Source organism: Homo sapiens, chromosome 8 (genome assembly GCF_000001405.40).
Source record: "Homo sapiens chromosome 8, GRCh38.p14 Primary Assembly".
NCBI classification, from domain to species: Eukaryota; Metazoa; Chordata; class Mammalia; order Primates; family Hominidae; genus Homo; species Homo sapiens.
This window is the reverse complement of record NC_000008.11, coordinates 19382859-19394510: the sequence shown is the minus strand read 5'-3', so window position 1 is coordinate 19394510 and position 11652 is coordinate 19382859. Positions and strand designations below refer to the sequence as shown.

General features: G+C 43.7%; 1 protein-coding gene across 8 annotated transcripts in view, besides 2 other annotated features; it reads right to left on the bottom strand.

Annotated features, from left to right (window-relative positions):
* SH2D4A (SH2 domain containing 4A) overlaps positions 1-11652 on the bottom strand; it is an 82526-nt gene that overhangs the window by 1708 nt on the left and 69166 nt on the right. For 7 of the 8 annotated variants that reach the window (NR_156444.2, NM_022071.4, NM_001363110.2 and 4 more), the window contains one exon: positions 970-1193. Coding sequence is in view for 7 of the 8 variants with exons in the window: in NM_022071.4 (NP_071354.2) it covers positions 970-1193 (224 nt within the window). In the remaining variant the exon portion in view is untranslated. Of the gene's footprint in view, positions 1-969; positions 1194-11652 lie in introns of those variants that run through there. The other variant, XM_047422079.1, reaches the window with a different exon arrangement.
* Positions 8414-8503: an enhancer, noted in NCBI's record as "active region_27056". NCBI's record gives its function as "activates an Ori minimal core promoter by ATAC-STARR-seq in GM12878 lymphoblastoid cells {active_cell/tissue: GM12878}" and the evidence as "EXISTENCE:reporter gene assay evidence [ECO:0000049][PMID:35858748]".
* Positions 8524-8623: an enhancer, noted in NCBI's record as "active region_27055". NCBI's record gives its function as "activates an Ori minimal core promoter by ATAC-STARR-seq in GM12878 lymphoblastoid cells {active_cell/tissue: GM12878}" and the evidence as "EXISTENCE:reporter gene assay evidence [ECO:0000049][PMID:35858748]".

Genomic DNA, 11652 nt, shown 5'->3' with positions numbered 1-11652 from the left:
TGACCACATGCTCTTCCTACTTCCTCAGAGGACATCACTAGCTGCCTACCCATGATTTACACAAAGCTTTTGTGGTTTATGATCATCTTAAAAGGCATTTTTCTTATCTACATGTGACCAGGTACTCCTTTCCCTTCAGGGCTTGAATTCTAACTTAAGGCCTATGAATTCTCATAGGTCAGGGGTCCCCAACCCCAGGGCCATGGACCAGTACCAGTCTGTGGCCTGTTAGAACTGGGCTGTATAGCAGGAGGTGAGCAGTGGAGTGAAGCTTCATCTGTATTTACATCTGCTCCCTGTCATTCACATTATCGCCTGAGCTCTGCCTCCTGTCAGATCAGTAGCAGCATTAGATTTTCATAGGAACACAAACCTTATTGTGAACTGTGCATGGGAGGGATCTCAGTTGTGCGCTCCTTAGGAAAATCTAATGCCTGATGATCTGTCACAGTCCCCCATCACCTCCAGATGGGACTGTCTAGTTGCAGGAAAACAAGTTCGGGGCTCCCACTGATTCTACACTATGTTGAACTGTATAATTATTTCATTATATATAACAATGTAATAATAAAATGCACAATCAATGTAATGTGCTTAAATCATCCTGAAACCATCCCCCAACACTGAGTCCATGGAGAAATTGTCATCCAGGAAACTGGTGTCACAAAGTTTGGGGATTGCTGTCATATGTGATCCATGTGGGTACAGCTTTTATTTTTTTGTTTTAGCATTTCCCGTATTCTCTGCCCCAGTGGGGTTCCCTGAGTATTTAAGGAAGAACTAGGTTCTAAGATAAATGAAATGTGATTAACAATCCTGATTATCAGGAAGAATTATCAAAGACAAGCCCCCACCCCTGTCCCCTCCCCAGTACTTGTCTCAGTCCTTTTCTTTGTAATTGTCATTCATTGTTAGAGCTGCTACAGGACAGTAACTCAGAAGGCAAATTAAGTTTATGCATTGCTTCACCTTGTGATATTCCACCAAATCCGCCAAGGTGGCATGCTGTAGCTGGTCCACGCCCAGGAAGCTGTAGGCGTCTGCAGAGGCATCGATGAGGAAATGTTTACAGCCGTCCTCCGACAGATAGGACAGGGCATAGCCTTTGATCCTTTCACTGACTCGGATGAGAAAACTGCCGGGCATGCCTGTGCTCAGAAGAAGTTCATTTGCTTTCTTGAGTGTGAGAATTCCTGTGGCAAAGCAAAAAAAGGCAGGTATTTCAGCCAAATCATTCCAGAAAATCCCCTCTGTTAAATCCAGCTGCATGGATATAGAGTCAATGACGCCTAAATAAGACACAATAAGAGCAATTTTAAGTCTGTTTTGGGCTTCTTAGGAATACGGAATATTCTTCTGGTATTTGCTAATTAGACATGAACAGGTTATAGAGGCAAACTGTATAAAAATCATGTATAGAGGTATACATGAGAGCTTAAATGTCAACCTTAAAAGAAGAATATATTTCTGGGCCAGGCGTGGTGGCTCACGCCTGTAATCCCAGCACTTTGAGAGGCCGAGGTGGGTGGATCACGAGGTCAGGAGATCGAGACCATCCTGACTAATACGGTGAAACCCCATGTCTACTAAAAATACAAAAAATTAGCCGGGCGTTTTGGCGAGCACCTGTAGTCCCAGCTACTCAGGAGGCTGAGGCAGGAGAATGGTGTGAACCCAGGAAACGGAGCTTGCAGTGAGCCGAGATCATGCCACTGCACTCCCTCCAGCCTGGGCAACAGAGCAAGACTCCATCTCAAAAAACAAAACAAAAAAAAAAGGAATATATTTCTACTTATACACCCATTTAGAGCAACACACAGGTGTTAGACGGTTTATAAGGGTCTAACAGAACGCCTTGATGGTCATCCTGGGAATGTTAGATCTGGGAGGGGATTTAAAGATACTCTCCCTAGGCTACCTCAGTTTACCAACAAGGACTCAATGGCCTGGGGAGTGATTTGACTTGGTCTAGGACAGTGGTTCTCAACCACTCGGACAAAGGTGTCCGAGAGACATCTTTGGTTGTCATGGATGGAGGATGGGGTTAGAGGTCAGGGATGTTGCTAAACAGCCTATGAGACACAGAACAGCCCCACACTGCAGAGAATTATCCAGCCCCAGATAGCAGTAGTGCTGAAATTGAGACTCCCTGGTGTGGGAGGCTCAGTAATTTAGTGACAGAGCCAAGTCAGACTCAGTTCTACTCAGTTCTATAAAGTACCTTAGCCTGTAGCTATTGCTAAATGACACTACACTGGCATTTAAAGGAATAAAACTATATGTGTGTCTTTATATACACATATGAAGTTATATATAGACATAGCTTAGATGCCTCAGGAATTCACACTCTTACTCCAGACCAGCCTTTTCCCCAGTTAGTCCAAACTCATGAGGTCTGACTCATGTTCCAAATTTTTTATTCCCATCATAATCCATCAATGAATAGATAATGCTGTAAAACTCACAGAGTAGAAACGCATCTTGGAAAGATGGGGAAGTCAATGAATTATTCAGTGAGCTGAGATCTGGGAGGGAGGAGCAGCGTTCTACGCGTGCCCTTTTTCATTTCAGCAAAGCTCTTGCCTTCTCTTGTTGGCTCCCTGTTGATACTCAGTACCTTATTATCAGGAAAACAAAACAATAACAGAACCACCTCAGGAAAAGGCAAGGGGCTGCCATAGCCCTTTTGTCTTGTTAGTACAGCTAATTGAGAAGTGAACTCTCTCCAGAGTAAAATAAAACCATGTCTGTTCTCTTTTCTGTAAACAGACCCTTGAATGACAGGAGGATTTTAAAAATTGTCTGTTTTCTTCTAGCCAAGATCATCCAACCAGACCTTCTCCTGCTTCCTATTTAGGAGAACACAGACCCCAGGTGTCCCACTGCAGAGTCCCAGTGTATGAAGGTCAACCCAGTGTGAGACCTCCAGGTAAGAGCTGGGAGTGGGTGAAAAGGCCAGTCTCCCCGACTTGCAGATAGTCAACATCCTCGAAACAGACCAGGGCCTTGCTCCTAGGGGCAGTGGCTCTATTACACTCATTCCCAGCAGACGACTGATGCACATGCATTGCATGTATCATGTCCAGTCGCTTTTCCACCCCTTCCCTGCTGAGACAGACCCATGGAACACCGTAGGTACCATGGACACAGAAAGCCTCTTGGTTCAGATGCTCCACTATCCCCATGAGGTACTCAAATCATGGCTAAGTTCCAACAGATACGGGCTGCTCCTTCTGTTTGTCTATTTCCCCTTCCTAAGCATACCTGGTCCCATTGATAAATTACAAATGACAACCATACGTTGAAACAAGGCGCCAGGTACCAGCCCATGCGGGGACTGCACATGGCAAATCTCTAAAGACACTGTATGAGACTGACTCCGAAACCCAGGGATGTTTTCAATGACCCTGAAAAGTCCCCTTCAGAAACAAGGAGCCACGACCGGAGGAGAAGCAGCATCTTGGAAAAAGATCTCTCCCTCCTCCTAGGCTGACGGCTCACTATGAAATTCCAGGCTGTTTCAACAGATGGGGCAGGTGTTACAATTTATGACATCTGGAAATTATCCAGATGAATCTGGATTCCTAAAATTAAAGCTATTCTGGAAATTTATAACCAAACCTCGGCTAAGTAAGGTCAAATTCCTTTTAAAATGAGGTCGTAGTGACTGTAACTGAAACTTTCCAAAAGCCCCTTAGCCTTACGCATAGATCTTGGTGCCATCTAATCTCCTGGGACACCAGGACCCAATCAATCATGTTGATGGCAAAGCACAGGTCATAGTGGAGACTCCTTGTACACCATGGGACAGAGGGCAGGTTCCAAAGGGCAGTGCCCTGGAGCCTAGGCTTTGAATGATCCAAGTGGTAGTTTGTCTTTGCTTTTTTTGCTTTGTAAGAGGATTACTATTCCTTAATAGCAAACTGGCTTGGTGCAGCTAAATACACAGGTCAATGTACAGTTTGTCATGAATCCATCTGTCATGAATCCATCAGGGGCACTGTGTGCATTTGGGGTGTCCTGGCTGTGATTACTGCCAAGCAATGAGGTTCATCTGCTGGGATAGGGAATTCTTGAGCACAAAACCAAAATCTAATGTTAGATATTGATTACTGAGGACTTATTCCACGTTTTCTTTTTTTTAAACAGTCACTCAAGCTGCAGTGCAGTGGTGCGATCTCGGCTCACTGCAACTTCTGACTCCTGGGTTCAAGCGATTCTCATGCCTTAGCCTCCTGTGTAGCTGGGATTACAGGAGCCCACTACCATGCCCAGCTAATTTTTGTATTTTTAGCAGAGATAGGGTTTTACCATGTTGGCCAGGCAGGTCTCAAACTCCTGGCCTCAAATGATCTGCCCACCTCGGCCTCCCAAAGTGCTGGGATGATAGTGGGATGATAGGCGTGAGCCACTGCACCCGGCCTCAGTCAACCTAACGGTACTTGTCCCCTGCATTGCCCTTTGCACAACTCTAAGAATTCTGAAGCAGGGGTCTTCATCCCAGCCCCTAAAGGCTATGACACATTGGTGCTGCTTCCCTCTGACCTGCCCTCTCTGCACAGCTTAAAGAAACCAAACCTGATGTCATAGGAGGATTTCTGTGCTAGAGAAAAGCAGTAATTTTTATTTGTTTTTTTAAGACAGGGTCTTACTCCATTGCCCAAGCTGGAGCAGTGTGGCACAATCTCAGCTCACTGCAGCCTCAACCTCCTGGGTACCTGGGACTGCAAGCACGTGCCACCATGCCTGGCCAATTTTCATAGAGATGGGGTTTCGCCATGTTGCCCAGGTTGGAATATTTTAGGCTATCAGTTTAGTGACCTATATCTTCACCCAGGCAACAGTCTGTTGATTTTAGAGTTGAATCCAGGCCAGGACTGGCAGAACTCTGGCAGCCCACAAGAAAGTAGATGTCACTGCGTGAGGTCTGATGGGCAGTGTCTGGCCCTGAAGAGCCTGGGGCAGAGCAGGAACTGAAACTCCTGAGCCTACACCCTACAAAACAGCAGCAGCACAAGGGTCCGTCGCAGCTGGAGGAGGTCCCACTCCTCTCTGTGTGTGATAATGAAAATATTGCCACATGTGCTACTGAACTCTGAAATAGGGCTTGTGATTCATTTTGATGGGAAAAGCCACATGTGTTTAGGGGCTACCCTAACTGGACAGCGTAGCTCTAAACCTCTCTAGAATAAACATTTTGCCCAGGAAAGGCCCCGGGGAAACATTTTTTGCATAGGAGATGGTAAACAGACCCAAGAGCCCAGAAGTAACTCAAACACCAGCAGGCTCTGGTTGGAAATCCAAGTGGCAGGGACTGCCCCACAGGGCAGTTCAATGGTATTTTTCTCCACAGCTTCCTCCTGGAAAACTCCTACTCACTCTGCAAGATTCAACTCCAGAACATGACGTGTCCTGATCCTAGTCTAGGCAGTCAGTCTCAGTTTCTCCTAGACCTGCTGAGCACCTGCTCCCACCTCCATCTGAGCACTCAAGTGGTCAATGCAGGGTTTCACCTGTACTTACCTCCATCTGTGTACTCAGCTAGTTTTCCCCTCCATCCAAGAATCCTCCAAGAATTCACAGAACCTTCTGCCATGACTGTCCTGCCCTCCCCCACTTCCATGTGAGCTCCTAGAGGCCAACTACTCCATCTTATTTATTTTTACACACTCAGCACCTGCCACTTAGAAGATGACCGAAAAAGAGTTTAATGAATGCTTGTGTCTTATAATCAAGTCTGAAACTTCCTTCTGTGGGACACTTCCGTGCAGCCACTGCCTCTATTCTAAGAATTGTGATCATAGGGACAAGAGATGCATTTCATTTTTCTTTGAAGTGCCACGAGGTCTAATATTATTTGGGTACATCTGTACAACTTCCTGTGTCTGGAAAATGTGTTTAAAAATCAGATGAAAGATGGCCAAATAAAGTTTGTATCACCTCCTTTTATCCTCACCGCAACCCTACATAGATATATTGTTATTATCCTCAAATAATTGGTGAGAAAACTTGCAAACCCTGCTTAAGGTCATTTGGGTAGGTCAGGAGAAGCACTGGAATTGGACCCAGGCTGGCTGACCTCAGAGCCCCTGCTCTCACCCATTCTCTCAGACAGAACACCTGCTTTGCCCTGGCATACCACACTGTTCAATGTGCTTCCACTGCATTTTAGAGTTGCTTCCTCTAAAAAGCAGAGCTGATATTATCGTCATCTGTATTTTATAGATGAGGAAACTAACGCAGAAAAGGCAAGTGCCCAAGCTTGCAGGATTAGCAAATGACACTTCCAGGGCTCTTGTCTCTTATTCTGGGGTTTTGCTTTTAACTCACTATGCTTTTTAACCCACTAGGCTCATGGAATTTTCCTGGAATGAGCCGAAAATAAAATGAGTCTTTATTTCACAAAGGGGTGTTCATTTCTCACCTTGGCAACTTAAAGAAGATGCATTTTTGATTGGTTACGTATGTGTAGTATGCCTTGATGTGGGGACAGTGCATCATGGACTCTTCCAACATCTGAGCTTAGCATTCATGCTGCTGAGGACTGAGAAGCTCCTTAATGAGTCAAGGATCAGAACTATTAGCGTTATTCATCCTCACTTCATTATCTTAAATGGCTAACGCTTATTAACTAGGGCTTATTATGTGCCACACAGTTCTTCATGCTTTACAAATATTACCAACAAATTACATGCACATATTGAGGCAGGAACAACCCTACTGATCTGCATTATACAGATCAGGGACAGAAGGACAGAGTCATGTGACTGCCTAAAGCCACACAAGTAATTAATGGGGAGACTCAGATTTGAAGCCAGGCACTGTGGCCCCAGGGACATGCTCTTAACCACTACTTACTTACTTACTTTCCCTTGGCATAAAGAAGTCAGGCATCATGATCTGGCTGTGTCAGAAGAAACTGTCCAGAAAGCATGTGATGGTACAAAAATAAAAAAGCATGTGATGGCCATGGCCAGATGCCGTGTCTCATGCCCATAATCCCAGCACTTTGGGAGGCTGACGCGGGAGGATCACTTGAGACCAGGAGTTTGAGACTAGCCTGGGCAACATGGCAAGACCCCATCTCTACAAAGAACAACAAAAACTATTAGCTGGGTGTGGTGGTGTACACCTGCATTTCCAGCTTGGCAAGACCCCATCTCTACAAAGAACAACAAAAACTATTAGCTGGGTGTGGTGGTATACACCTGCATTTCCAGCTTGGCAAGACCCCATCTCTACAAAGAACAACAAAAACTATTAGCTGGGTGTGGTGGTGTACACCTGCATTTCCAGCTTGGCAAGACCCCATCTCTACAAAGAACAACAAAAACTATTAGCTGGGTGTGGTGGTGTACACCTGCATTTCCAGCTTGGCAAGACCCCATCTCTACAAAGAACAACAAAAACTATTAGCTGGGTGTGGTGGTGTACACCTGCATTTCCAGCTTGGCAAGACCCCATCTCTACAAAGAACAACAAAAACTATTAGCTGGGTGTGGTGGTATACACCTGCATTTCCAGCTTGGCAAGACCCCATCTCTACAAAGAACAACAAAAAGTATCATCTGGGTGTGGTGGTATACACCTGCATTCCCAGCTGTTCAGGAGCCTGAAGTGGGAGAATCACCTGAGCCCAGACAGTCAAGGCTGCAGTGAGTTGTGATCACCCCACTGCATTCCAACCTGAGTGACAGAGCAACACCCTGTCTTTTTTTTAAAAAAAGCATGTGATAACAAATGTTTGATGACAAACACATGGCTTTTAAAATACTAAATTAAACAGTAGAACCCCTTTTCTATTCAAAATTCCAAGTGAAACCCCCAAAGCAGACTCTCTCTTCTTAGGTTCTCACACACCCACTGTACCTGCCCCTTGCCTCTGAGGCCCCTCTAGGCAACCTCAGGACTCCAAGAGCAGGACAGGGAACTACAAGGGTCCAGTCCTGGGCATGTGTAGTGGGAAGCTTGGGGCTCCCGGGCACAGCCACTGCCATCCTCTGATAGTGTCAGGATGAGGACTCAAGTGCATCATCTGCAAAAACCCAAGTAAGAGCCTGGAGCTAATGGGCTATTCCCCACATTACTGGCAAACACAGTGACATTTTTGCAGGAAGCCTGCTGCACTAATTTATGAGAAAAGTCAGCTTCTTCCAGGAAAAAGCCAGCATTACATAGAATGTTCTGCAGAAAAGCTAGCTCTTCCCAAATCCGAATTAATGTGTGTAGTTTTAGCCTCTTTGTTTCATCTTCTCCAGCTGCTTTACAATCTGAACAAATACTAGGCAATTTTATAGGGGGACCATGGAGGATAATTTGGACAAAACGTGCTTTGCTTTAATGACATTAATGTAGGTGAAGCCTTCATACTAAAAGGAGCCCTGCCTGGGAATGGACTTCCAGCTGTCCTTCTCTGCCACACACCGGCAGTGATATATGATTGTTGCTGGCCACAGCCTCTCCACGCCATAAAATGTGTGAGTCATCCATGTAAATGAGGCAGGATATATGTGTCATCTGAGGTTTAAGAACAAAAAGGCTTTGAGAAATCACATAAATAACTACTCTGTGCTCAGTGAAGACAGAAGCTTGAAAATCCCTTTGTGACAGGTGGGCAGAATATTGATAGCCCCACAATTAAGAAATCTCCATTCTTCAGCAAAATAGTAGAAGGATAGATGATCACTTAGGGGTAGTGACTCAGGTCTGCTAAGATCTTAGACAGAAAGAAATTTTGGGAAGCCTCCATGAGCCCTTCTTAATGCAACCTATTCAGTGACATATGCTCTGTTGGGGGTGGTATCTGGTCCCCGTTTTGAAGGAGCTGTGTATGACAAACTGTCAGGAGTAGAAGAAGGGAAGTTGGGAGGAGTGGGACACAGGATTCCACCTTAAAACCATCTCTAGGGAACAACAATTCCAGAGAATACCTCCAAGAGGTTCAGAGTGACCCTCTGAAGAGTCAGTAGGATGTATCAAAAAATGGAAGAAATCAAAATAGCTGAAGTGTGGCCAGGCGTGGTGGCTCAGGCCTGTAATCCCAGCACTTTGGGAGGCCAAGGTGGGTGGATCACTTGAAGTCAGAAGTTCAAGACCAGCCTGGCCAACATGGTCTCTACTAAAAATACAAAACTTAGCAGGGTGTGGTGGCCCATGCCTTGTAATTCCAACTACCTGGGAGGCAGAGGCAGGAGAATCATTTGAACCTGGGAGGTGGAGGCTACAGTGAGCTGAGATCGCATCACTGCACTCTAGCCTGGGTAGTGGAGCAAGACTCTGTCTCAAAAAAAAAAAAAACAAAAAAACAGCTGAAGTGTGAACTATATTGCTATCCCACCAAAGTAAAAAGGATGTGCTTGCTAAGTAGATTAAAATATAAAATACTGGGACCAAAGCACGAGGAGGGTAGGTTCAGTTGTATGCCATGACAGCAAAAGACAGCCACAAGAAACAAATCAAGATGGAAAGATTTCATCAACAGTCTAATTACATCCACATTTGAGTAAGAGTGTTCATTAAATTTCAGAGGAATAATGATCAACTATTGATACATAAAGCAAATATGTGAATTTTTGTCTAAATCATAAACTTGTTTATACACAGATTTCTTTTTACCCATCTTCCCACTCCCAGTCCCTGCCAGTTTCTGAGCTGCAATAAACTGCTGTATTTTTAGCAGAAGTAGGAAAATGTTGATAGAATGAAGAAATGAACCTGTGGGTTTCTGGACAGAACTTCAGATCTCAATTTTATTTATTCTTTGGCCCTGTCTTGGGGAACTTTAAAAGCATGTTAGTGGGTAAAATGAATTATGTATCTACACACTTTGGAGACTCATAATCTGAAGCCAGAATAACTGGGATGACTCTTCAGTCAGCAGGATGTTAAATTTGGCCAGAAGGACTTTCCAACATTACTTACTTAGTTTACAAATATTACAGACTGTAAGGTCTTTCTTAATGTTGGAATCTGGCTATCAGATGCAAGAATAAAATGAATAAAACAAGGATTGCATGTGAAGGTCAAGACAGTCCGGAACTGAAAAAATGGGTGTTCAAGGACAATGGGATAAGAAGAGATAAAGGGTGACAAAATCAGGCAGACTTAAGCAATTACAATATTTAGAAGATCATTAATCTAGAAAATGGTGGCTATTCCTTTAGCAATGCTAAGACTCACCCCTGTCTCTTTGCACCATCCCTCCCAAACCCAAGCTCAACCTTAACCTGCAATGTCCTGGCAAACTTACCCAAAAAACTTCATTCTCTGTTGGTGAGGGTGTTGACCCTCTGTCCTTCCAAATTACTGTTGCCTTCTGAGGTGACCTCCTAGCTTTTAAAGACAGGCCCTAAATAAACACTTGTAGAAATAACATAGGGCAGTTTTTGCAGTAATTACAATCTATTTTACTGAAGTGCTGCTTAGTTACACTGTTACTCAAAATGATACGAAAAGAAAGGGGAACAGGAGAGATGAACTTAAACTGCACAAATCTGATAAACCAAAATAACAAACACCACCTATTAGGTACTGTTCTAAGCACTTTACATATCAGCTGATTTACTTTATAAAAACAACCCTATGACATAGATGTATTAGTATTATCCTCATTTTACAGAGAAGAAAATCCAACTCAAACCTAGGTAATCTAGTGATTACATTTTAAAAATCCCTCCTCCTTAATTTTTTCCCCCTTTTGGCAGCCAGACATTAAAGACTAGGGCATTCAAAAATAATTGCATATATGCGGAAAATTATGACTATTCATGGCCATGTAAAGATACAGGCTAAAAAAGAAGCTGTGAAGACTGTAAGTTTATACCTCAGGCTGATCCTTGACATAGAGAAAGCCTATAACAATAAAAACAAAAAAAAATAGTAAACCTTCGGGAAGAGGAAGAATCACATTCCCAGAGTTACCGCATTATTACATTCAAATACCCAGTTTTCAGCAAAAAGTCACAACGCATGAAAATAAAAAGGAAAATATGGCCCATTCAAAGGAAAACAAATCAGAAACTGTCACTGAAAAAGACCCAATGACAGATCTACTCAAAGACTTTACGTATGCACAAAATGTAAGTATAAAGAGAAAACCTAAAATAAAAAAAAAAAAACCAAGAACAAATCCTAGAACTGAAAGTATAACTAAAATGAAAAATTCACTAGAGGAATTCACAGGCAGATTTAAGCAGGGAGAAGAAAGAATCACTGAACTTGAAGATAGGACAATGGATGTTACTGAGTTTGAGGAACAGAAAGAACAAAATAAAGAAAAGTGAACACAGCCTACCAGACCTACGGAACAGCATCAAATGACCCAATATACATTTTGTGGAACTATCAGAAGGAGAAGGGGGCAGAGAGAGTATTTGAAGAAATAATGAAAACTTCCCAAATTTGATGCAAGACATTATATAAACATCCAAGAAATTCAATGAAATCCAAGTGAGATGAACTTAAAGAGACCCACACTGACACATAATACAATCAAATTGTCAAAAGACAAAGATTGGCCAGGCATGGTGGCAAGTGCCTATAGTCCCAACTACTTGACAGGGCTGAGGCAGGAGAATTGCTTGAACCTGGGAGGTCAAGGCTGTAGCGAGTCAAGATCACTCCACTGTACTCCAGCCAGGATGACAGAGTGAG